General features: G+C 43.8%; 1 protein-coding gene across 2 annotated transcripts in view; it reads left to right on the top strand.

The window, feature by feature from the left end:
• ATRN (attractin) overlaps positions 1-23802 on the top strand; it is a 180101-nt gene extending 156299 nt beyond the window's left edge. The window contains exons 26-29 of one of the 2 annotated variants that reach the window (NM_139321.3): positions 6995-7073; positions 11512-11619; positions 16838-16952; positions 19407-23802. In NM_139321.3, coding sequence (NP_647537.1) covers positions 6995-7073; positions 11512-11619; positions 16838-16952; positions 19407-19531 — 427 coding nt within the window. In that variant the 3' untranslated portion in view covers positions 19532-23802. Of the gene's footprint in view, positions 1-1583; positions 1983-6994; positions 7074-11511; positions 11620-16837; positions 16953-19406 lie in introns of those variants that run through there. The other variant, NM_001323332.2, reaches the window with a different exon arrangement.

The raw sequence follows: 26388 nt of genomic DNA on the forward strand, positions 1-26388 counted from the left end.
AACTCTCCAGGTGATTCCAATGTGCAGCTAAGGTTGAGAATCACTGCTTTAAAAGCACATATTAGAAAAGAAAAAACATTCCTCTCAATAACTCAGAACTGCTAATTAAACCTAAAGAAGTAGAAGAAAGAAAAATATAAATAAGAGCAAAAATTAATGATCTAAGGGAAGAAGTACAGTAGAGAGGATCTTAAAAACTGTCAGTTGGATCTTTGAAAAGAGTAAGAATAATATTGACAAACCCCTGGCAAGATTAACCAAGGAAAAAAGAGAGAAGGTATATGGTATATGTAGCCAATGTCAGAAATAAAAAAGGGGGCATTCCTCCAAATCCCGCAGACGTTTTTTTCCTCCAGAAGGGTATTTGATGAACAACTTTATGTGAATGAATTTGAAAATGAAACAGATGGAATGGGACCATTAAAAGAAAAATATGCAACTTGCCAAAACTGACACAGAAGAAGTAAGGAGCCTGAATAGTTCTGTATCCATTTTTAAAACAACACTAATTTAAGTTTTGTCATAGTGAAAACTCTAGGCCCCAGGTGGCTTCATTGGTAACATAACCTTTTTAGGCCGGGTGCAGTGGCTCACGCCTGTAATCCCAGCACTTTGGGAGGCCGAGGTGGGTGGATCACGAGGTCAGGAGATCGAGACCATCCTGGCTAACACGGTGAAACCCCATCTCTACTAAAAATACAAAAAATTAGCCAGGCGCGGTGGTGGGCGCCTATAATCCCAGCTACTCGGGAGGCTGAGACAGGAGAATGGCGTGAACCTGGGAGGCAGAGCTTGCTGTGAGCCGAGATCGCGCCACTGCACTCCAACCTGGGCAACAGTGCGAGACTCCATCTCAAAAAACAAAAAGGAGAATACTGTGATCATCTTAATCAATGGAGGAGATAAAGCATTTGATAAAATTTAATACCCATTCATTTTTAAAAAAATTTCTTAGAAAACTAGAAAGAAACTTCTGGAACACTGATAATGGAACAACATAAAAAGTCAACAGCAAACCACTTTCTTAATGGTAGAATGTTAGAAGTTTGAGTTTGGGAACAAGACAGAGATCCACTTTCCACAGTTTCAATTACTCAGGGTCAACCGTGGTCCAAAAACATTAAGTGGAAAATTCCAGAAATAAACAATTTATAAGTCTTAAATTGTACTCCATTCTGAGTAGTGTGATGAAATGTCGTGCCATCCTGCTTCGTCCCACCTGGGATAGGAATCATCCCTTGGTCCAGTGTATCCACGCCCCTATGCTACCCACCCACTAGTGTCTTGGTTATCAGATCTAAAAATCATAGTATATGTAGGGTTCAGTACTATCCATGGTTTCACGCATCCACTGGGAGGCTGGGAATGTAACCCCACAGATTAAGCAGGACACTATATTGCCAAATCCAAAGGATACTTTTTGGTTCTCCTCTTCTTGACTTCTCGGTGATATCAACCAACTGACTGCTTCATGAGCGAGACTCTTCCAGCCGTCTCTGACCCATGCTGCCCTACTGCTGCTTCTTAGCCTGCCTATTATGCAATCTTTTCTATTCAGCCTCTCACTGTTGATTTTTTCCCAGACCTTGACCCTGGCCGTCTTCTCACTCTGTGTTCTCTGACTGGACTCTGCCTTCCCCATCTGCAGCACGACATGCCCAGAAGTGACCAATTCCATCCTTCCTCACCGGTGTTCCCCACCTCACTAACTGGCAACATGGCTCTGCTGGTTCCAAGCCACTTCTCTTGCTTTCACTCAGCAGGCACTCCCTTACCAGGCCCCAGAGCTGTGGCCGTCAGTGCACTCTCCACCTCCACTCCCCACCCCACCAACCCTAGCATCACAGTCTCGCCTGGACCTTTTCACTTGACTTTGGCCCCTCCAGAATCCACAAAAAGTCCAGAGAAGACCTTTAAAGATCATGTATCTAGCCCCTTACCTTCCTGTCGTATCTAAAATAAAATTCAGCGTCCTGGGTGAACTGGCGTCCGCTTTTCCATATTCAGCTTGCACTCTTCTCTTCCACATTTCTGCTACCAGGACCATCTCCTATGTCTTCAAAAGCACAAGCTCTTTCCCTACACTGAGCATTTGTACATGCTTATCCCATTTTCTGGAACACTCTTCTCACTACCCTTCATTCTGTATACTTTCATACCTTGCTTGATTTTTCCAGACAACAACAAATTCTCCAATTCTCTGACACCAACTCAGTGTCTCACAGTTCAGTTCCATTCAGACACTACCCATAGTTGGAGCAAATCCTGCAGGTTAGGGGCTCAGTCCCACAAGACTGCTCCCACTTCAGACACTAAGCACAAATGGGTCCCCAGGCTACCTCACTGCTACTGGGCCAACTACAAATTCAGGGCTTCTGGTGACTGCTCACTCCAAGATTTGACAATTTGTTAGAACAGCTCACAGAACTCAGGAGAGCACTATACGTAGAATTACAGTTTTATTATACAGGGTACAACTCAGGAACCGCCAAATGGAAGACATGAATAGGACAAGGCATGGGGGTGGGTGAGCACAGCTCTTTCATGCCGTCTCTGGACAAGCCTCCTCCCTGCACGTGGATATATTCACTATCCTGGAAGCTCCCCCAAGCCTCATCATTCTGAGTTTTTTTATTGAGGTTTCATTACATAGGCATGATGGATGAAATCACTTTCTATTGGTGACTGAACTCATCTCCAGCCCCTTTCCCCTTCTTGGAGGTTGGGGGATGGAGCTGAAAGTTCTAACCCTCTAACCACCTAGTTGGGTTTTCTGGTGACCAGCCCCCGCATCTGAGGCTCTTTAGGCCCCTCTCCCCATGAGTCATTCATTAGCACACAAAAGACACTCCTGTCCCTCTGAAAATTCCAAGGGGTAAGCTAAATTGTCTCCCCTTGTTCCTCACTCCTGTAGAACTGTATTATTTTTCATCGTGGTATTCATCACAATTTGAAGAATATATTCATATGTTTACTTGCTTAATATCTGGGTCGGTAGCCCAAGCTTCAGGGGAGCAGTGCACTGTCTCTCGTTCACTCCTATACACACACAGCTTCAGCATCTAGTACATAATCTAGTAAGATATTTGTGGGAAGTAAACTTAGACTCTTCAGGGTAAGTGCAGAGTGAGGAGGAACCATAGGCACCAACCTCTCAGGGAAAAAAGCTTGTGTCAATGGCTTGCTTTTAAGGGATGTAGGGGCTGTATTGTAGCTCCAGTAGACATCCTTAAATTCTTGGAGCATGTGTATGGAATAAGATGGCCCTGCTGCCAAGTACGTACAGCCTGGTGAGGACCGGCCACTTCTACTGGACATTCAGTCCCTGGGCGACCGAATGACACTATCAGAATAAGTCGAGGAAGTACTTTTCAGGCCCATGGCCTCTTGTGTAGTAAACAAGGACAGATGGCATTTTCATCACTTCTCCCTTGTGGGGGTTGAACTTCTGGAAAAGAATCCGGAACTTTGGTTTTTCTAGACGATGTTTACTAACTAGCGATGATAAACTTTTAGCTAAGAATAGAGTTACTTTCATGGCATGGGGAAGAAAATATTTTCCCAGGACAAGTTAACCATGTCTAAAAGAATTTATTTAGCTTTTTTTTTTTTTTTTTTTTTTTTTTTTTTTTTTTTTTTTTTTTTTTTGGGATAGGGTCTCTGTTGCCCAGGCTGGAACACAGTGGTGCAGTCATAGCCCACTGCAGCCTCAAACTCCTGAGCTGGTCTCAAGCAGTCCTCCTCACCTCAGTCTCCCAAGTAGAGCTGGGACTGCAGGCATGCACCATCATGCCCAGCTAATATTTTCTTTTTTGTAGAGTTGGGTTCTCACTATATTGCCCAGGCTGGTCTTAAACTTCTGGCCTCAAGCAGTCCTCCCATCTCAGCCTCCCAAGGTGCTGGGATTACCAGCGTGAGCCACTGCTCCCAGCCTGGTCCAAAAGAATTTAAAATGGAGCCTATAAGGAAAAGGGGAAAGGTATCCAGATAATCCTAAGCACTCTGAAGAATGGCTCATATAATATATGGAAAAAAGAACAAAAGTCGGGGGGAAATTCGATGATTCAAATGAGAAAATCAATGTAAAGTGAGTTAGAAAAAATATTTCCAGACTCCGGGCACAGAAAAGTAAACTCTAGGTCCTGACACAGTCTGTTGAGACTGTGTCCTAATGAGATGCTTTTCCAGCCTCAGGAAGGAGCCTCCTTAAAGAGGGAAATAAGAGACTCTCCTCTGCTTGCTTTTCTGTAGCTTCTTGTAGCTGGAGCAGCAAGTAGAAGGGACTGGGGAACTGGTGTTGTCAACAGATCTTCACTGAATACAGAAGGGCCCTCTCACCTTCCCTGAGGCATAGAGGGAAGCAGGCACAGACTGTATTACGGGTGGACCCAAGAGAGGTTTCTGAGTGACACCAGGGTCCTCGCCTCTCAGCAGCAGCGGCAGGCTCTTGACCAACTTAGAAGCTGTTGCCGTTGGCTTCATGCTCTTCCTTGTGGATTTGCTGCCTCCTTATGTTTATCTATTAGAATAAAAATAACAAAAATCAGGATTATGCGTGGAAGCCAAGAAAGACTGAGAAGGTTATTCTCAGACCTCTTTACTGGTTCTTCCTGTTCTCCTCAACTTCTCATTGTTAGGGTGGCCCCAGGACATTCTCATCTATCTGTATTCACTCTCTTGGTGAATGTGGCCAGGTTTATTGCTTGAAATACCATATATATCCTTATGCCTTCCAAATGCCATGCCCAGCCCAGACCTGGCAGCCAGCCTCCAGGTTAGAATATCTGCCCAGGACATCTCCCCTGGGCTGTCCGGTAGATATCTCAGGGTTCTGCATGTCTAAAATGGATCTACTGATATGTCCAGATTCCAAAGTGCTTTTCACACCTCTGCTTCCACAGCTCTGGTTTGAGCCACCATCATCTCACCTAGACTGCTGGTCTCCCTGATAATGCCATTGCACCTCTAATGGTTTTCTCAGCAAACGTTAAATCACAACACTCTGTTTAAAAACCTGCACTGGCTCTTTCCCAATGCCCTCATAATGCTTGCAGTGCCCCACATGATCTGCCCTTCACCCTCACCCTTCTCTCTGCCTTTGTCTCTGGCCTTACACACCCCACTCCAAACATGCTGGCCTCCTGAGGCTCCCCAAGCCATCCCAGGCACGGCCTTGCCTCGGGCTTTGCACTGACTGCTCCTTTTTCCAGATGCACTTTTGCAGGCGTCCATGAGCCACCTCCCATACCTTCTCCAAGTCTTTGTTCAAATGTCACCTTCTGAGAAAGAAAGGCCCACACACTCTGACCATCCTGCTGTGGAGTGCCACTGGTACTCCTGAACCCCTTGCTCTTAGCATCTTTTTATTTCTGTAGCACTTACCTACCTTTTGGCATGCTCTGTAATTTGCTTATTTACTTACTGTTTGTCTCCACCTGCTGGAATGTAAATTCCATGGGACAGTAATCTTTGCTCTGTTTATCAGTGTTTTCCATGAGCCTAGAACAGGACCTGACCCAATTAAAGTATTGATTAAAAAGACAATGTAGGCCAGTCACGTGAGGCCTGTAATCTTTGCCAAGGCAGGCAGATCACTTGAGGTTAGGAGTTTGAGACCAGACTGGCCAACGTGGTGAAACCTCGTCTCCACTAAAAATACAAAAATTAGCTGGGTGTGATGGCGCACACCTGTAGTCCAAGCTACTCAGGAGGCTAAAAGAGGAGAATAGAATCGCTTGAACCTGGGAGGCAGAGGTTGCAGTGAGCTGAGATCGTGCCACTGCACTCCAGCCTGGGTGACAGAGCGAGACTGTGTCTCAAAAAAAAGACAATGTAGACTGTCAGAAGAGTTGGCAGTGTCCTGATAGCAGAGAGGCCCAGAGATGAAGGCTTTCCACCAAGTGACGATCCTGGGGGGGTTGGAAGGCAATCCTATTGAATTGCCTGTTGTCAGGGCACCCATTGGAGGAGTCTGCACCCTTGTACCCCTTAGGGAGGAGGCAGTGAGCCTTGAGATAAGGGCAGTTCAGTCATCCTAGCATCTTAGAGTCCCTCTCTCCAGCCAGCCCAGGAGGGCTGTGTTGGTGTCAGCAGTTGGGTGCACTGAGGTGCCATTCATGAAGCTGACCCCATCCTACAAACGCAGAGCTCAGCCAGCAAGAGAGTACCTTGATGACACTGGCAGAGAGCCTTATGTCTACATGTAGCACTCTGGAAAAATACCCTGTAGCTAGCCCCTTTTACAAGTTAATGAGTAAAAATGCAGTTATAGCAGTTATCTATTTTTTTACTTGTTAAGCTTATTCTTCCTTTTAACCGCAAGTCAGCTGTTCTCTTTGCCATCACTGTAGCTTTTCAAATCATTCCACACCTGGTTTATACATGAGAGAGCATTGAAATCCTCTGCAACTATTAAGGCCACTGGGAGTTATTTTCTCTTAATATTTTTAAGAAAGTTGTTGGCTTGGGTTTGATCATTTCAAATGTGTTTTATTTTACTTAAAAATATGTATTTGTAAAAATATTGAATATACACTAATAATTACACACATTTCTTCTGTTTGCCTCTTCCTTATGAAAAGTTGATTGTTACTTTAATAATTAACTTTTTCACCTTCTTAGATTTTACCAGTAAATATCTGCTAACTTGAATAAACAGCATGACTAATATTTGTTATAATTATCTTAGAATTATTTTTCTTATTTGGGATAAGCCACTGTGGGCCATTCTGATGAAGGCCAAGTGGAAGGTCAGGGCTCTCTCTGAATACCACATGGGAACGATACAGTCTAGAGGCCTGGTTAGGAAGCCTGGCTTACCGAAGTTGTCTCACTCATTACCTCCTGAGCCGGCACATTGTTGTGACAAAGCATCAGAAGGGAGCCCGGAGGTGGCATGTGGGAGCTGTTTTCACTGCCTGGCCTGAGGTGTGGGCAACGGTGGGAGCTGATTCTGGGGGCTGGGATAATAACTCAGTACTTTCCTTTCTCACAGTTGTTTCCTCTCTTTGCTCCTGGTGGCTGCTGTGGTTTGGAAGATCAAACAAAGTTGTTGGGCCTCCAGACGTAGAGAGGTAAGCTTCAGTGGGTAAAGATTAAAGAATCCCTGGAAGAGCTTTTTTTCCTTCTTTTTCTCTTAAGCAAGTGGGTTTTAGCTATTTAGTGATAATGGACAGACAGACATCTCCACGGAAGGAATAATGCAGCCCTTTCTGCAGTCCATGGTTCTGCAGCATATGGTCAGTAGACTTAGATGAGTGCTACATAAAGTGTAATTAGTTCTGCACCACAGTGTCTTACCTTCCGAAAAGGAAACTCTGGTATTGACTTGGAAATGCCAGTTTTATCCTTCAGACCAGAACCCAAGTCCTGACTGAGGCCAGAGATCCAAGGGCGTATTAGCACAGCCACCGCGTGATTAGGCACCGCCTTCATGAGAACTTGTCATGCGAGAGGGAAATCAGCCATTTAAGCATCTCAAAAATTTTTCATTATTCAAGGAAAGATAAATGTGTGTGTAGTTAAGTTTTTAACTTGAGTTTTATTTTTAAATAAGTCTTGATTTGTTTCCAGAGCTTCATTCCAAAAGTAATAAGCAAATATTTACAGCTGACAAATTTAAATAAATAAACTTGGTTGCAAATTACAACATATCAAATGCCCATCAATCAATGAGTGGATAAAGAAAATGTGGGGTGTGTATGTGCGTGTGTATGTATATATATATATTTATATACATTTGCAGCAACCTGGATGGAATTGGAGACCGTTATTCTAAGTGAAATAATTCAGGAATGGAAAACCACACTTCATATATTCTCACTTACAAGTGGGAACTAAGCCCTGAGGATGCAAAGGCATAAGAATGATACAGTGGATTTTGAGGACTCGGGGGAAAGAGTGGGAGGGGGATGAGGGATAAAATACTATACATCGGGTACAGTGTACACTGCTCGGGTGATAGGTGCACCAGAATCTCAGAAATCACCATGAAAGAACTTATTCATGTAACCAAACACCACCTGTTCCCCCAAAAACCTATTGAAATAATAAATAAATAAATAAATAAATAAATAAATATTTTAAAAATAACCACCATTAAAATAATTACAACATAAAAACTTTGTGTATTGCAACTTTCACTTGCATCATTACTTTGCCTTTCATTTAGTCATGCCTGTGGCATTGTTGGCATTGTTGCTAATGGAAATGCTCACGTGTATATAAGATCTAGACAAAGAAGCTGTCTGGGGTTTTTTTGGATCTACTCATGCCTTTTTCTATATAAAAATGTATTTATAGATAAGATTTAGAACAGAAGGGAAGTATGTAAAATCACAACTCACAAGCACTCAGCACTGTTGATAGGATATTCATGTCTGAATAGGGTTAAGACAGGCTCCAGGATATGGGCCTCTTGTTGTGGGCCACAGTACCACCTTTTCTGACCCACATAAAGATGATGTTATCATAGAGGGAATGTTGCACACTCTTTATTATTATTTTTTAAATAAGTGGATAACATATTCAAAGGGTTTTTTAGATAACTGTATTACTGATATACTTTAAAAGCCTAATGAATTACGTGATGTTCTGAAAAAAATTATATTTTCAATTTAATTTAAATGTATATTTATTCACAATGGAGTAAGAAAGAAGTAAGAAGCCACAGTAAACCAGTTATCAAGAAAGGAGTTGAAAACTTTTGAGTGCTACTCTCTCCAAGAAGGACATTAGACCCAGGGAGTTTCAAGGTTGAGATGAGCTTATGGAGATTATGATAGCCTGTTCCTCCCTGAGTGCTTATGAGAATTAATTGTTTCTAAAATCTGTAAAGCAAAGGAACAGATGGAAAGCTTGAAAGAGTCCGAATTGATTTTATACACAGAAATCTTGGTACCAAAACCTGACAAAGGTAGCACCAAAATACAAAGGGCAGCTGCATAGTGAATGTATGTGCAGCAGTCTAATTGCAGTGTAATGAAAGAGTCACTTAATACCAGAAAACCTATTAGAATATATCATGTCAAAAAAAGAATATATCATGTCAATGGGGAAAAAATAACACCTGAATTCTTCCTAGTGGCCCAGAAATCATTTCGTCATTTATTGAAACTCAATATCCATTCCTAATTTGAAAACAAAACTCACAGTAAAATCAAAAATACCTTTTTAACGCTATGAAGAATATCTGGATAACCAGCATCACTCATGATAAAACAAACAAACACCAGAGGTTGTATCCAGGCTAGTTAGTTTTAACAAGAGCTGACATCTGAGCATTTAAAAATTCCAGGCACTGAGTTCTAAGTGGTTTTACGTAGATTAACTAATCCTTATCTCAAACCTATGAAATAGGTATTGTCCCTCGTTATGTTTTATGGATGAGGGGACTGAGGCTCAGAAAGGTGAAGTGACTTACACCACATAGTTAACTAAGAGGCAGACGAGGCTTTAACTAGGGACTTCTGTCTTCACAGCCCAAGTTCGTTATCTTCGTGTAATCCTACAGTCATTCAGCTTTGTGCTAGATGTTCTAGACTGTGCACTAAGTGAAAGGGCACTAAGAAGTGTTGTTACTATTGGAAAGGAAACAAAATTATTATTTTCATATAAAGTTATTAAAACAATGTAGTAGAGATTTGCCTGCATAAAAATGAAGGCTTAAGTATATCAAAAAATAAATGAATAACACAGAAGCTAAACAATCAACTGGAAATTGTTTGCAGTGTGCATGAGAGAAAGTAAGATGCACAGCCTACAGGAAAAAGATTAAAATATATATATGTGTTTAGTATGGAGTTGGTCATCTAATAAACTATGCTTTTACCCGTGTGATTTGGAATTTCTCTGTAACTGTGAAGCTGACCATTCAGAATATATTTCATCATTTTTAAAATGTCAGCCATTATTTATTCCCTCTCAGAATTGTAGAAGCAATGATTTGATGTTATTTTTAAAAACAATAGTAGTAGCGGCTGACGCTGTTTAGTCCTTGCTACACACCAGCCCCGGTTTTAAGTGCTTTTACACATGTTGCCTCCTGAACCCTGTCTTATTGTGACCCCAGCACTTAAGCACAGACCCCAAGGAGCATTGCTGCATATATTAGTCGAGTAAATGGACCTACAGCTTTAAAAAATGTAAGAATGTTGGTATTTTAAGAAAATATTTATAAAAATGCCCTTCTAGAACAGAGCCATATCTATCCAGGCCAAGATTCTGTCTTCTACAGTAGTTCCAAGGAGGCAGTTTGAAGTAAGGCCTACTTGTATCCCAAGGCATAACCTCAAAGCTTCAGCATCATGCCCAGAAAGATCTCTAATATCCTTAATGATATGTGAACGGCCGTTCACCATGTGCTAGGCGCTGTGCTGTAGTATCTCATTTGATCCCAGTGACAACCTTATGGGCTAGGAACACATTTCAGAGGGAGGACACGGATGCCCAGAGACTTCAAACACCTTTCTTAAGGTCACACAGCTGTAGACTATTGGAGCAGGAGTTCACATCAAGCCTCCCTAAATCCCGAGCCCCTGTTTGTCCCTCTACTCTGCAAAATTTCACATTTGTTTGTTTTTAGCTTATACCACCTCTCTGAAGGAAGGGTTCTTTCAGTTCCTATCTGCCGTATAATGAGGCATAGGTTTTTGTTGTCCTGTGAATCCTTGGTGCCAGTTTCAGTAGGAAGAAAGCAAGCCTGACTTTAGTAGTAGAAATACGAGGAGATAGAGCCACACCATTTTATGTATTTGACAAGTCGACGTCATAGCATTAAATCCACAGTACTTTTATTTTTATCTTTATTTTCTTATTTTACTTTAAGTTCTGGGATACATGTACAGAACATGTAGATTTGTTACATAGGTATACATGTGCCGTGGTGGTTTGCCGCACCTATCAGCCTGTTATCTAGGTTTTAAGCCCTGCATGCATTTGGTATTTGTCCTAATGCTCTCCCTCCCCTTGCTCCCCACCCCTGACAGGCCCCAGTGTGTGATGTTCCCTTCCCTGTGTCCATGTGTTCTCATGGTTCAACTCCCACTTAAGAGTGAGGACATGGAGTATTTGGTTTTCTGTTCCTGTGTTGGTTTGCTGAGACTGATGGCTTCCAGCTTCATCCGTGTCCCTGCAAAGGATATGAACTCATTTATTTTATGGCCGCATAGTATTCCATGGTGTATATGTGCCATGTTTTCTTTATCCAGTCTATCATTGATGGGCATTTGGGTTGGTTCTAAGTCTTCGCTACTGTAAATAGTGCTGCAATAAACATCGTACGTTAATATGTATCTCTGACAGGGGCTTTTAAAAAATATAAGGACAATGGTGTTATCACATCCAACAAAATTTAGTAATCCCTAATGTTATCTAATATCAAGTCTAAAAAGTATCATTTTGGACTTGATTTGTTTGAATCAGGGAGGATGAGGTGTTTTTAACATGTAGCATTAACTAATAAAACCCCTTCAGTACTCATTCCATTAATGGCTTTGCCATATTATTTATCAGCAACTTCTTCGAGAGATGCAACAGATGGCCAGCCGTCCCTTTGCCTCTGTAAATGTCGCCTTGGAAACAGATGAGGAGCCTCCTGATCTTATTGGGGGGAGTATAAAGGTGAGAATGTGACTCAGAAGTCCCTATAACTTGACTTTTTAAAACTTAGGCTCCTAAGTCTGGGAAACCAGAGAGAGCAAAAGCCCTATTCCATTACCTCCTTTTTTTCCTCTCTTTCTTTTTAACAATAAGCTAAAACCTGAAGTTGCTGGGTACTCTTTTGCTTTTGTTTTTCAATCTTTGTTTCATGTCGCTGAGCAGTCTTGTGTTCAGGGGATTTTAAAATCTAAATGATTTGTCTGCTTTTCTTTTAAGTATTCTGTGGCATACAAAACTTTTATTTGAAAAGAGCTACATTGAACATCGAATCATTGTTTTTTTGTTTGTTTGTTTGTTTGAGACAGAGTCTTACTGTGTCACACAGGCTGGAGCGCAGTGGCATGATCTCGGCTCACTGCAATCTACCTCCCGGGTTCAAGCGATTCTCTTGCCCCAGCCTCCTGAGTTGCTGGGATTACCGATGTGCGCAACCACGCCCAGCTGATTTTTGTATTTTTAGTGGAGATGGGGTTTCACCATGTTGGCCAGGCTGGTCTCGAACTCCTGACTTCAAGCAATCCACCCACCTCGGCCTCCCAAAGTGCTGGGATTACAGGTGTGAACCACCGCACCCAGCCTATTTTTCTTTATATTTTGGGGAATTTTTTAAGCAGCAAAATGATAATACACTGTGTATTAATACTCTGTGGAAAATATTTATCACCCCCCTCCCCAAAATGATGAAGAAAATGGTAAGACTTTCTCCTTGGGCAAAATGATGGAATATTTAAGATACGCTGGAGAAATAGCTATGTATCTTGAATAAAACATACTTATTTAAAATGTTACTGAGCTCACAGGAAGTAGGTAAAATCTCCAGGGAATACTCTCCTTCCCTACCCTAAAAAGAACAAACCATAAACCAAAACCAGAACCATGATTTGTCCTAAGTGGTTCCAGATGGTAAACACAACACCCACCTGAATAGATGGAAATCCTCTCTATAGAAAAACATCTTCAATTCAGCGCTGTTGAAGTCCCACAGATCAAGATGAAGTAATTAAAGATCACCAGGGACAAGAGGCAAGCCGCCATAAATAAGAGTAGCAGAAACAACAGATGATTGATGTGGACAGGACTCCAAATGTTAGAATTGAAATCTAAAGAATATAATATAACTGTGTATGAAATGTTTAAAGAAATAAAAGATGAAATCATAAAGATGAGAGTCAAGTATGGCCAAGCAGATCTGAAGAAGAACCAAATGGAACTTCTAGAAATGAAAAATATACTTGTTGAAATTTTTTAAATAAATAAACTCAATTTACATGTTAAATAGCATATCAGACATAAGAGAATTTACGAAGTGGAAGATGAATCTGAAAAAAGTACGCAGAATGCAGCTCAGAGAGACAAGGAGATAGAAAGTACAATAGATACTAAGAATATGGAGGATAGAATGAGAAGATCCAACTCATATATATTTCCAGAATCCCAGAACAAAGGAGAGGCAATATTCAGAAATGATAGCTTTCCAGAACTGATGGAAAACATGAATATACAGATTCCAGAAGCAAAACATATTGTAAGCATGATTAAAGAAAGAAAGGGAAGGCAGGAAGGAAAGAAAACAAGTTGGATTTCTCATAATGAAATTGTATAACTCCAAAGACAAAGAGAACATCTTAAAATCAGCCAGAGAAAAAGTATCACATACAACATGGAGAAACTGAACGTTAGTGCACTGTTGATGGAAGTATAAAGTGATGGAGCCACTGTGGAAAACAGTACCACTATTCCCCCCAGAATTAAAAGTAGAATTATATATGATCTGGCAATCTGGGTTTATACATAGAAGAACTGAAAGCAGAGTCTCAAAGACATATTTGAACATCAGTGTTCTTGGCAGCATTATTCACAGTAGCCAAAAAGTGGAAGCAGGCCCAAGTGTCCATGGATGGATAAATGGATAAGCACAACGTGGTCTATGCATCCAATGGAATGTTATCCAGCCTTCCAAAGGAAGCAAATTCTGACCCATGCTACAATGTGATGAACCTTGAAGACATACTAAGTGAAATACTCCAGTAACAAAAAAATAAACATTGTATGATTACACTTTTAAGAGATACACTTGTGGTAGTCAAGCTCATAAAGACAGGAAGTAGAACAGTGGTTCACAGGGGCTGGGAGAAGGGGAAAATGGGGAGTTAGTGTTTAATGGGTACGAAGTTTGAGTTTTACAAGATGAAAAGAGTTCTGGAGATGGATAGTAATGATGGTTGCACAACAATGTGAATATACTTAATACCACTGAACTGTACATTTTTAAATGGTCAAGATGGTAAATGTTATGTGTATTTTATCACAATTTTTGTTAAAAATGGGAAAAGAGGCCGGGTGTGGTGGCTAACACCTGTAATCCGAGCACTTTGGGAGGCCGAGGCGGGCGGATCACTTGAGGTCAGGAGTTCAAGACCAGCCTGGCCAACATGGTGAAACCCCATCTCTACTAAAAATACAGAAATTAGCCAGGCATGATGGCACACATCTGTAATCCCAGCTACTTGGGAGGCTGAGGCATGAGAATCATTTGAACCTAGAAGGCAGAGTTCACAGTGAGCTGAGATTGCACCACTGTACTCCAGCCTGGGCGACAGAACAAGACTCTGTCGCAAAAAAAAAAAAAAAAAAAAAAAAAGGGAAAAGATCACCTGCAAAGGAATGACAAGCTGACCGCTAACTTCTCAGAAGTCAGAAGAGAGTGAGAGAATGTCTTTGAAGTACTGAAAGAAACCTCCCCACCTAGAATAGTGTGCCCAGTAAGCACCTTCCGAGAACAAGGATGAAATAAAGATATCTTCAAATTAGAATAAAAATTGAGAATTTGCCACCAGCAGACCTGCACAAAAGAAATGTCTGAAGGATGTGCTAAAATGAAGGAAAATTACCCCCAGGAGGATAGACTAAAGTGTAAGAAAGAATAGTGAGTAAATAAAAGTATAATCATATATAGAAATCTAAACAAACATTATCCTGGTAAAATAATATTTGTGGGTTAAAAAATAGACAAGCCTAAAGTATTGAACAACATGATATATGTCAGCAGCATATGACACAGTTAGTTGCTCCTTAAAACATTTTCTTGATTTTCTTCCAGGACACCACACACTTGCCTTCTAGCTGTTCTTGCTCAGTGGTCTTTGCTCAATCCTCTTCATCTTTTGACAGTGGTGTGCGTCAGGCCCTGCCTTTGTCCCCTTCTTGTGTCTTTTACACCCACTTCTTCAGTGATCTTCACTATCACAGGTTTAAGTACCATGATCCTCTCACCTGGACTGCTCCCATGAGCCTCCAACACAAACATCAGTTGCCTACTCAGTGTCCCCACTTGGATATCTTAACATGGCCATGGCCAAACTGAGCTTTGGATGTTTATTTCTCAGACTTGCTCCTCTGACATACCTTCCGCCTTTCAGCACATAACACCTCCATCACCCTAGTTGCTCAGGCCAAAATCGTGGAATTGTTCTTGACTCATTCTTGATGTCATGTTCTCATTGGACAGCCAGTCTATCAGCAAATCTTGACTCCGTATTCAAAAATGTTTCCCAGCCACTGTGTCCCATCTCTGCCACTATTCCCACTTGATCTAGGCCACCGCTGTCTCTCACCTGGATTCTTGCAGTTACTTCATAACTGATCTCCCTGCCTCTGCCATTCACCCATCTAGTCAGTTCCTTGTGCCACAGCAGAGTGGTACTGGAAATTATTTTCTTCAGCCAAACTGAAGAAACTGATGACATTTGTGGGTATAGTCAGCAGAATTCTAAAGGTGGCCCTCAAGATTTCCATCCCACGTTTATTCAGTCACACACTACTCTAGGTACTGCTAGAGGGATTTTGCAGATGTAATGAAACAAGGGAGTTGACTTTAAGATACAGAAAGTTTCTCTGGCTGGTGGCAGAAAGAGGAAGCCAGAGAGATTGGAAACATGAGAAGGACTTGACACACCATCCCTGGTTTAGAGATGGAGTGGCCACAGAAGTTTTTTTGTTTTTGTGAGACAGAGTCTGGCTGTGTCACCCACACTGGAGTGCAGTGGCATGATCATGGCTCACTGTAGCCTCAAACTCTTGGGCTCAAGGGATCCTCCCTCCTGGGTCTCCCAAAGTGCTGGGATTACAGGTGTGAGCCACTGCGTAAGCCCTGAATGCATTTCAAAGCAGAGTCTTCCCCAGAGTCTCCAACTAAGAGTCCCATCCAGCTGACAACTTGACTTCAGCCTGAGAGACCTCAGGAGATAGCTGATAATTCCCCAGAACTCATGGAAGACATGAACAGACCTGTCTCTCTCGGCAGAGAACCCTACAGAGCTTGCTGGGACTTCTGACCTCTAAAGCTGTGAGATAATAAGTGGGTGTTGTTTTAAGCAACTAAGTTTGCAGTAGTTTGTTACACTAATATAAGCTGGGTGCGGTAGGTCACACCTTTAATCCCAGCACTTTGGGAGGCTGAGGTGGGAGGATCGCTTGAGCCCAGGAGTTCAAGACCTGCCTGGACAACATAGTGAGACCCCATTTCTATTCTTTAAAAAAAAAAAGGAAAGGAAAGAAAAAGAGAAGAAACTAATATAGGGGACAAATCTCATCTAAAGGCTGCAACAGAAGATGAAAACATATTTTCCAGAGCCAAATGCATCCAGAGAGTAGACAAAGAATCTACTTGGTCAGCCAACCCAGCTTTTACAAGCTTTTACATCCAGCAGGCTTGTCTACTTAGTGTCTAAAGGACAGACAAAATAGAATGTTTTTTAAGTCTCCATGATATCTGCATCTGTGTTTGAGCCAGGTATGCAGAACTATCTGACAAATCTACCAAGCACTCACCACTGCCATTCCTGTGACCTACAGTTATGAATTAGAATTTCAAATCGAGCCAAAGTACAGCATCCAGAAGAAACCCACTTGGCGTGGCCCCTTCCCTACAGTTCAAGCAGCCCTCTGGAAGGGGACTGCGAGACCTCAGTGGAAGGTAGCAAGCAGTACCACCCGTGTCACTGGTGCTCAGAGAGTACTGTTAGCTCTCTCCTGCCCTTTTTCATTATCTTAAAAACTGCAATGTACCTTTTTTATATACCTGAAATTGATGGTTCTTATAAGCACAAATGACCGTTAAGTTGTCCGTATACATTAAAGCTTGAGTATCACTTAAGGTAATTTTGTTTTCTTCTGCCAGACTGTTCCCAAACCCATTGCACTGGAGCCGTGTTTTGGCAACAAAGCCGCTGTCCTCTCTGTGTTTGTGAGGCTCCCTCGAGGCCTGGGTGGCATCCCTCCTCCTGGGCAGTCAGGTGAGTAGATGCGGTCCAGCGAAAGACACCTTCTAAGCATGTGAGGGAGCTAAGCATGGGATACTTCCCTTTCCTAGAGAACAAGGTTATAAAGGTGATAACCAACAGTGCCTGCCCATGCCATGGCAAGGATTCAGTGAGATAACCCATTTTCACCTATATGCCCAAAACTGTTTTCCCGAGGTCATCGTCCCTTCCTGGGGGGACGTCCCGGGACCTCCTCACCGTTCTGGCCTCCCCAGCCTCTCAGTGCTCGTGGATGCCTCTGACCACACCTTCCTTTGCTGTCGGAGTTTCTGGTCCCCCTTTGCCTCTGCTGCTCTTTCCCTGTCTCTTTTGCCCTGTCCTGCCCCTGAATCTGGGTGTGCTCCCTTCACCCTGCATGTTCTTCCTCAGTTGCCTTCTCCACTCCACAACTTCCAGCCATCTCCCCTGGGCTGGTGTTTCTTCAATTGGTATTTCTAGCCCTCCTGCATTTCTTTTGCTTTTTCACTGTTTTAAATATAAGGCACAAACACAACGATAACATAAAGGAAACGTCTGAAAATCCACGCACAGTTCTGCTATCCCACAACCCACCAATTTTCATTGTTCTGTGTTCTTTCCAGCCCTGGCCAGCAATTTAGTTGAAATGATTGTATAGATCTAATTTTTATTCTGCTTTTTTCATATAACTATCTTAAACATTTTTATAGCCTACTACATAATATTTTACCAATGCATGTGACACTTCTCCATCAAATATATGAATCATGATTATATAAACTTCTATTTTGAAGACAGAAAATATGGAATACAGTTTTGAAAGTATCTCGCTTAATTACAGAGTGCTTTGGAGGATGCCTCAATGTGATCATTTTAGACAACTTTCAGTTGAGATGATTCTGGAGTCAGGGTTACCTTAGCCAGAGAGCACCCTGTGTCTGGTGGAAAGGCTGCCCCAGGATACTGGTCCAGGCCCTGAGCTCCACTGTCCCTTCAGTGCACCCTCAGACCCAGAAGATCCTCCAGCCCAGCTTTAGAATGGTTAGGATCTATAGTATCTTCACGAGGGAGGCCTTTCGACATGGCTCGGCCAGGATTCATTGTCTTCATCTCACCTAGGGATTCCTGTGAGTTGAGCCCCTAACTCGGCCTTGCCTGTGTTGAGGACAGGACAACTCTCTCGTCTGTCACTCAAGTGCAGTTTGTGTCTCCTGCCACCGCCCAGCCCAGCAAACAGTGGCTGGTGTGCCCTGAGGGCAGGGTGGCGGCTGGGGCGGCAAGGTGACAGGTGTGCAGCCCTGTAGCCTTTCCTGCTCCAGCCTTTGCCTGACATGCCCCAACCACCTGAAACACCTAATAAAGGTCTGCTCAATGCTTGAGACCCACCCAACAGTGGGGCCGTCCTTGCTGCCCCTTCTGTACCCCCTGTTTTAAGTGGTGCCCTTTTCTAGGCTCCCAGAGCATTCCCCACTGTGTGCCAGGCACTTACAGCTGTCTACCCCCACCCCCACTCCCCTTCACAGGCTCAACAAGGCAAGTAACACGCTCCACTAACACAACTCCTGGCAGGTCTCAGCAGAGCTCCGAGCCTGCGCTGGCCATTTCCCACGTATATTAGGAATCCAGCTCCCCCAGAACCGTGCCTTCCCTAATGGATGTCAGATTACTCCGTTATCAATACAGGAAGGAAAATGGGATTGCAAGTCCCCAAAGCAAAGTGGGCGGCGGGGCAGTGATGAGCATAAAGGGTAGTTGCTATTGATCGTGGGTTGCTGCGCGCCAGATACTAAGACTTTATGCATGCCAGGTACTAAGACTTTGTCAGTTCACTCATTGATTCTTCACACTAGCCCTGTACTACTATTATCCCCATTTTACAAATGAGGAAACTGAGGTGCAGGGAGGTTAAAGAACCTTGCTTATTCCAAAGCCTGGCCCCAGAGCCTGCCCTGCCTGTATCGTGGTATGGAATGGAAGTGACTAATGCTGACTGAGTGATAGGGGTGAATCTGAATCTCGTCATAAAGCGTGCTGCTGTTTCTCGGCTCCTTTTGGAGGAAGGCAGGAGAAATTGGGCACTTAGCACACGTCTACAATCTCATTTATATGTTCCCACCACCAAGCAGAGCACTGTGCTTGGTTGATGTGCTGAAAAGCAAACTGCACCTTTTGTGTAAAAAGTAGGGAAAGGAGAAGAATGTGTATTTGTATTTGCATAAGTATACCCTCAAAGAATACATAAAAATTAGTGAAAGCGTTTACCCAGATGGAGGGGAAGGCGGAGGGAGGGTCAGGGTGGAAGGAAGACTTTTCCCTGTGTATGTGTACCTTTTTGGGGGTTTTTTGTTCTGGTTTTTTGGTTTGTTTGTTTTGCACCATGGGATTGAAAAATAAATGTTTAAATTATTTTTTAAAACAAAATAAAAGCCAGCTGCTCCCAGCATATGTTCTCTCTGTGGTTCTCCCAAGGTCTTGCTGTGGCCAGCGCCCTGGTGGACATTTCTCAGCAGATGCCGATAGTGTACAAGGAGAAGTCAGGAGCCGTGAGAAACCGGAAGCAGCAGCCCCCTGCACAGCCTGGGACCTGCATCTGATGCTGGGGCCAGGGACTCTCCCACGCACGAGCTAGTGAGTGGCACACCAGAGCCATCTGCAGGGAAGGGCGTGGCGGGGAAATGGCTGTGCGGTGCGGGACGGAAGACTGGAAACCCTCAAAGCATCTGACTCACCTGCATGATCACAAGCTTTCTTTGACGGTTTCTCCCATCCGTGTTCCAGCATCTAACCTTTTACTTTTGCATAGGAAATACTTGATTTAATTACAGGTCCAGGGATGAGCTGATGGTTGCTGGAGGAGGCCAGTGTAGAGCCAGTGAGAGAACTAGGAATGACACTCAGGTTCACTGTGGAAAACTGTTCTTGGGACTGTCTCAACTGTGCAAAAAACAAAAGATGGAGTGTTTACAAGTAGACATTCGTCATCAGTTGTTCTTGAACATGGTCTTTTAAAAACTAGTCAGATGAATTGTTTTCATCTGAAGCCTGCTATCTTTTTTAAAAGATGTGCTATTTATTCTTGCACGATTTAGGCAATTATCTCTCTTCCAGGGAGTACCTTTTTTTCTAGTTGAGAATTAATAATGGTCCATCTCTTTTGATCATATCAAGCTAGGATAGAAGGGGGGCTATTTTAAATGTCAAGGTCAGCAGTGTTACTTTGAATGTAAACTGGTATAATAGGTAGTTTTCTATAGTAACTTGATTAATTTAGTCTTAATCCATTTGAAACTCTCTCTTCCTTTCTCTCTGCCTGTCCCTCTCCTTCTCCATCTCACCCTCCCTCTCTCACACATACACACACAAACACATACACACAACACTAAGTGCCTAGACTTTAAATAGATCTAGCAATTGGAAAGTTAGTAAGCCTAAGTTTTTACATAATTGCATTCCTACATTCTTGTAAAATTTAAATAGCTACCATTGGCAATCTGCTTTTTTTCTAAAATCTGATTTGCAGCCAGGAAAGAATTTTCTCACCCAAGGAACATTTGATCTAGCAGCAGGGATGAGAGGAAAGCAGAAATGAATGAACTGTGAAAGCTCCTGTTTTTATTATCAAAAAGGACACTGTCAAGAAGGCGCCCCCTGCCCCCACCCCCGTGTCACCCTAGGCCTGATAAGCGATCAGAGGAAAGGACTCATTCATGTCACGCTTCCTTGAGCAGAAAAGAGCACTGAGAGCACTTGGGACCCCTGGATCAGAGAGCATCTGTGTGTCCTGCAGCCTCCTCTGAACTTGTGGTTCATTCTCAGGCTGGGGTGGACTCAGATGCCAGGAAAGGGACAGCCTCCCATTGTCAGGCAGAAGCTGCCCAAAGCCTGGAGAAGGACTTGTTTGCCCTCTTTCCCCCAGGAGGGGCTCGACCCACCCACCCTCCCTCTCAGACCAAGGTGGTGGCTGTGAGGAGGGCAGCAAATGCTGACAAGGATGAAAAGCACATGGAAAAAAATGGATGAGGAGGGAAAACTCTGCCAAATGGAAAATGACCAAATTTAAGAGGGTGGGACAGTCCCCTGCTCCTCTCCCAGAGGGCACTGCTTGGAAATTGTGTTTTCCCCATTTATGGTGCTCTGTATTCTGGCATTATGCAGCAGCCTCCCAGAAGCTCTCTTCTGCTTCAAAACCTGGGATCTCTGGCATTACCCTATTGGGATGGACCGCTGGACAGCAATGCTCGAGTTTGTGAATTTGGAGAGATACTCAAAAGAGCTAAAACTGCAGCATTTTACCTTTAAATGCAGTGCCTAGAGAGAGAGTATTGTCTCTTCCCCAACACTAACCCCACTCCCATGAAGAATTGCCTGGAAAGATGTTTTCAAGGAATTTGAACCATAAAACACTATCTGATGCACAGAACACCTCTACTTTGAGACTCACCTCTCATAAAGCTTCTTTTTCACATTACTGTTAAAGACCAGACGTTCTAGAAAAGACCCCTCCTCTCATGAGCTCCCCCATCCCTGCTACAGAACACAGCACCCATGGCGCCTGCAGTGGACTGGCCCCTTAATTCCCACAGGCCCCCCCAGCAAGGCCAAAGGGAGGCCCCTGGGTATTGTCCTCCTACAAGGAAGATCCTCTTTGTTTGTTCAAAGGACCAGTTTTCCTAGGCCAAAGAAGTCTCTTCCCCATGTTAGTCCTATGCCTTGAAATATCATGCACCATGACCCACAGCCATCTGGTTATGTCTTATTTTTTTCCTAAAAGATAATGTTTATTTTTAAAAAGGAAGGAAGGAGCAAGTGAAGTTTCATTCTGCTCCAGCGGTGGGGAAGCCGCTGAATCCACCTGCTTCTCCTTTGCAACCGACAGCAAACAGCTTTCTCCGGCCTCAGGGCAGAAAAAGGGAATGGCAGGGAGTAAGAGGCGCTGGGCTCGGAGCCTGTTTCCAAGAAGGAATTGGTTGTCATCTGGCAGTGTTGCGCGTCACAAGAGAGCCTGTATATAAATTAAAATAGTCAAGACAACACTGACCTTGCACTTGTACATAACTATACAGTAGTGTCCAGAATGTTCAGACATTCGGAGTGTACATAAAACAGAAAAAATCTTCATGTATTTTTATTAAATATAACAATGTCTGAGTTTCACCTAAGATGTTTTTGTGCCATATGCTGGATATCCAGGTTCTCGCCAGGCCCCGATACATGAATAACAAACCCAAGAAACGCATCCCCATTGTGTGATGTGTTCAGATGCATCTGGCACCAATTAGGTATTTCTTAAAACAGGACTCATCTGTCAGAGTGCACATGAAAAATCAGGCAGGGAATCGAAACGACAGTGCTGGAGGAGACTCAGGAAGCAGAGGCGTCCCTGCCGCTGCCCTTGGCCCTGCAAGCACATCATGACCCTTTCTGGCAGCCTCTTGGTGCTCTGGGTAGTGAGGGATGACCAGTCTTGTCCTGAGAAATGTTTCTCTTAGTCTTTAAGTTCAAAGACTAACCTGTAGCAATCAGACTTTCCAAAAGGGGGTTCTCCATTTTTTGTAGTTTTGTCTAAATTTTTAATGACCATTTCCTGGAATCAGTTTATTATACTGAAAACTGGGGGTGGGAGTAGGGAGCTAGTTTGTTGATAAATAGTTCCCATTTCCCCATGGAGAATTTGACATACCCTGGACTCCTGTGTGCCTCCTGCCATCCCTGCACACAGCCTGGGGAGAAGCCTGTGCCTCCCCGTGTGGAGAGAAGGCAACCCCAGATCCCCTGAGCTAACCCGGAGGAAAGGCAGTCCTGGACAGAAGACTGTCAGCAGAAGGAAAGTACTGGACTACCCGTGGGTAAGTCCTGCCATTCAAGACTGGAGACACCTGGGAAATAAAAAGAGCAGGGCACTGCTGGTGGGAAGAGGCATTTTACCTTCCAGTGCAAATCCTGCTCCTTTGATTTAATGGGGTGTACTGGGGCCAGGGGCTGATTCACTTCCTTGGGAGATGGTGGTGTTTTCATGAACATCTTTGATCCTTCCATTTCATTTATTCATCCATCCATTCAACAAGTATTTGCTAAACACTAACTTAAGCTAATGCTAGGGTAGTGACTGAGATGTAAAAATAGATTTTAGAATTAAAACAAAATCCAAGTCCTCACACCCCTGTCATCCCAGGAGATCTTTCCTTGTGGTGGTTTCTGTGAGAATTGGCCATCCTGAGGACACAGCCAGGACGGCAGAGGCCTCCTGGCCTCAGGGCATGCCCTGCCTACCTTCTGAAATGTTTACCCCATTGACCAAACTTGGCTCCAGCCATTGCGGTGGTTTCTAGATAGCCAGGCCCACCAAGAGATATTGCCCCTTGATGAGAGTCAAACACCCTGCCTACAAGGAGATGTTTTGAAATGGAGAGGAAAATTGGCACCTCATCTTTTAAAGGCAGTAATGGAATTGATTTTCAGTAACTGAATTTGTGCACAAAACATTCTAAACACTAGTGAAGCCTGTTTCGTTGAACTAATTCTGGCTCTGGAAATGTTTTTGTTTTATAGTTATTTACGATTTCGTTTGTTTGGATTCAAGCTTAGTTTGTTAATATGTATAATTTAGCATCTATTACACTCATGTAAATATGGAGTAAGTATTGTAAACTATTTCATCGCGGGGATTGTGGGTGTTATACATACATTTAGGACTGCAATTTTTTGGTATTTTTTGTATTGTAAAATAACAGCTAATTTAAGCAGGAACAAGAGAACTAAGGGAGGTCTGTGCATTTTAAACACAAATGTGAAGAACTTGTATATAAACAAAAGTAAATACTATAATACAAACTTCCTTCTGAAATAAAAGTAGATCTGGTAAAAATGTGGCTTTTGTTCTGAGTGTTTCATTTTGATTTTGCATTGTTTTGCCTATATTTACATTTTGGTCATTAGAACCTTAAGGGAAAAAAAAAAGCGTTTACCAGTTTTCAGACTGCGTCAGAGGGAGCACTTGACAGTTAACGGAGGTGAGGGTGAAAACCCCTGGCAGGTACCTCAGACAGCCCTCCAGGCAGCTTGTGAGCCACAGACCTTCCACACAGCCTTTGTGTGCCTACAGGGCAGCTGGGCCCGTGGGGGCAGGGACAGATCTGAGCAGTGAGGTATGGACAGCCGTCTCACTGCTCCACTAACCACACCACTGTCTCCAGTGGTGCTGTTATCCCTCCACTTTGCGCTCTCCTCACAGGCTCCTGAATGTCCTCTAGGTTGTCTCCAAACTGCTAAATCTCAGGTGTGCTGACAGGTCTCAGCCGTGGCCAGTGTTTTCCTCGGCCTTGAAGTTTTGAGGAAGTTACTCCCATTGGCAAGGCCTTGTTTGGGGGCCTCCTGTGTGTCCTGCCCCCTTTTATTTGGCTCCTGCCCTCAGAATGGGTCAGAGTCATGTATTTCAGTGCAGAGTGCAGATTCCCAGTGCTAGCAGTTCCTTCCAGAAGGATGAGGTCATTGAAAGAAGGAGGAAACACAAGACGGTCACTCCTGTAGGGGAAGATGGCAGGGTACTAGGGCCAGGGCCTGAGGTGAGGGCAGGAGCCTGGAGGAGGCCTGCCTACCAGAGCTCAGGTCTGGCTTAGGGAGGGAAATGGCTGGACTAGTGGCTGCAAACAAGTTGAGAAGGACCTTGAAACTCTTCCAGGGAGGGTTATGAGAGCCACCAACAGTAACAGGATAGAAACCCTGTGATTTGGTGGTACTGTGGCAGAGACAATGCTGTGTTTACCAAACCTACTGGGCCCACAGCTCATCATTTCCCAGCCTCCCTGCAGTTAGGTTGGGACCAAGCTAAGCCATGGCCAAGGAAAGGTTGGAAGAAGTGATGGGCACCAATTCCAAACGTGGCACACAAATGCTCCCACAGGGGACTCTCCTACGGATCACATGTTAAAGACTGGAGGGACTGTGGGTCCCTGAGTCACCCCTTAGAGGCCGGCCGCCTGATCAGTAAGAGCTGTGCTGGCCTTTGCATCACTGGAAAGCAAACTCACTCTGCTGATCCACTGAGATTTGGGGCTTTGTTACACTAGTTAGCTTTTCTTATTCTCACTAATATACAAATCAGCACTTTGAAGTGCAGTGCACATGTAACCAAACCCTTAAGTACATGGCACTGGCTCAGCGTGTGGCCAGGTGGCGAGCAGTGATAAGACAGGTGCAGCTGGCAGGACAACTGAGGTCCCTGCCAGGCGGAGCAAAACATCTGGTAAGGCCGTTTCACTCGATAACTCGGAAAACAAACTCCATGTCTGCTGACTTTTTGACTTGAGGGGAATAAACAACAACAACAACAACAAATATGTGTTGATTGTTACTGGCTGCTTTTGGCGAGGCATCACGAGAAAAAGTTTACTTCAAGAAAGAATTAGCCAGTTTACAAGCAGAAGGGAAAAAGATGGAAAGATGTTAACCAGGGCCTTGCAATTCTGGAAAAGCCAACTGCTTCTAGTCTCCAACCAGTAAGAGGTGCAGGTGAGCAACAAAGGCCCCATGAGACTTAGTTGAACACAGTGACTGGGCCTCATGGTGACCATCCAATGAAGGGTGTGGTCTTCCCACTGGAGCATGGAAACTGCAAAGCCACCAGCTTGAGGGAGGGGCACGTGGTTAAGGAAGCAAAGAAAAAGCTGACATGAGAACTGTTTCCAGGAACAAACCATGAATGTAGTCACTGACCCTGGACCTGCCTGGAAATAAATAAAGATGTAGTAAATTTAAGAAACCATTAGCAAAGCCTTAAAAAAAAAAAAAAAAAAAAAAAAAAACGGTGGCAATTGAGGAAGTCTTAAATCCACCTTCAGGCAGGAAAATGGTTGTGAAAGCTGTGTCCAGCGAGGGCTTTACAAGCTCAGATGTGGGCCCAAGAGCAGAACTGGGCCTGAGCGAGGACTCCCCCCAGCCCAGGACAGGGCCCAGCAGGATTGCAAAAACACCGCAGAGCAGCAATTGCTGCATCTGCACCCGCTCCTTCCTGGGTAGGAGGGCCTAGGAGGGTGTCCTGCCTGTTCTCATCACTACCTGCTGGGTGGGAGGTGGATTAAGCTGTCTTGTTAATTCAGGATTGTGGACTTCAAAGAGCCACCTGAGGGAGGCTGCATCACCTGGAGGTCTGGGCGGGGTGTGACCTCGTATTGTCCCCCTAGGAGAGGGTGCCTGTGACCCATGTAGGAGAGGAAGCACAAAACTGGTTTTGGTGATCAGAATAGCAAACTGGGCCAGATGCTTACCACACATTTCCTCTTCCTGAGTCCACAGCTTCGACTGCATGGCCTGGGCCCGTGGCATCTACCCAGATGCCTTGGGACCAGCCCTCACCAATGATGTGTCATTTCAAGGCCATTCACAGTAACAGTGTCTCCTCCACTGTCTCCATCAACCTTGAAGGCTTATGGTGAAGATGGTAATACAACAGGAT

The sequence above is a fragment of the Homo sapiens genome, chromosome 20 (assembly GCF_000001405.40).
Source record: "Homo sapiens chromosome 20, GRCh38.p14 Primary Assembly".
In the NCBI taxonomy this organism is placed as follows: domain Eukaryota; kingdom Metazoa; phylum Chordata; class Mammalia; order Primates; family Hominidae; genus Homo; species Homo sapiens.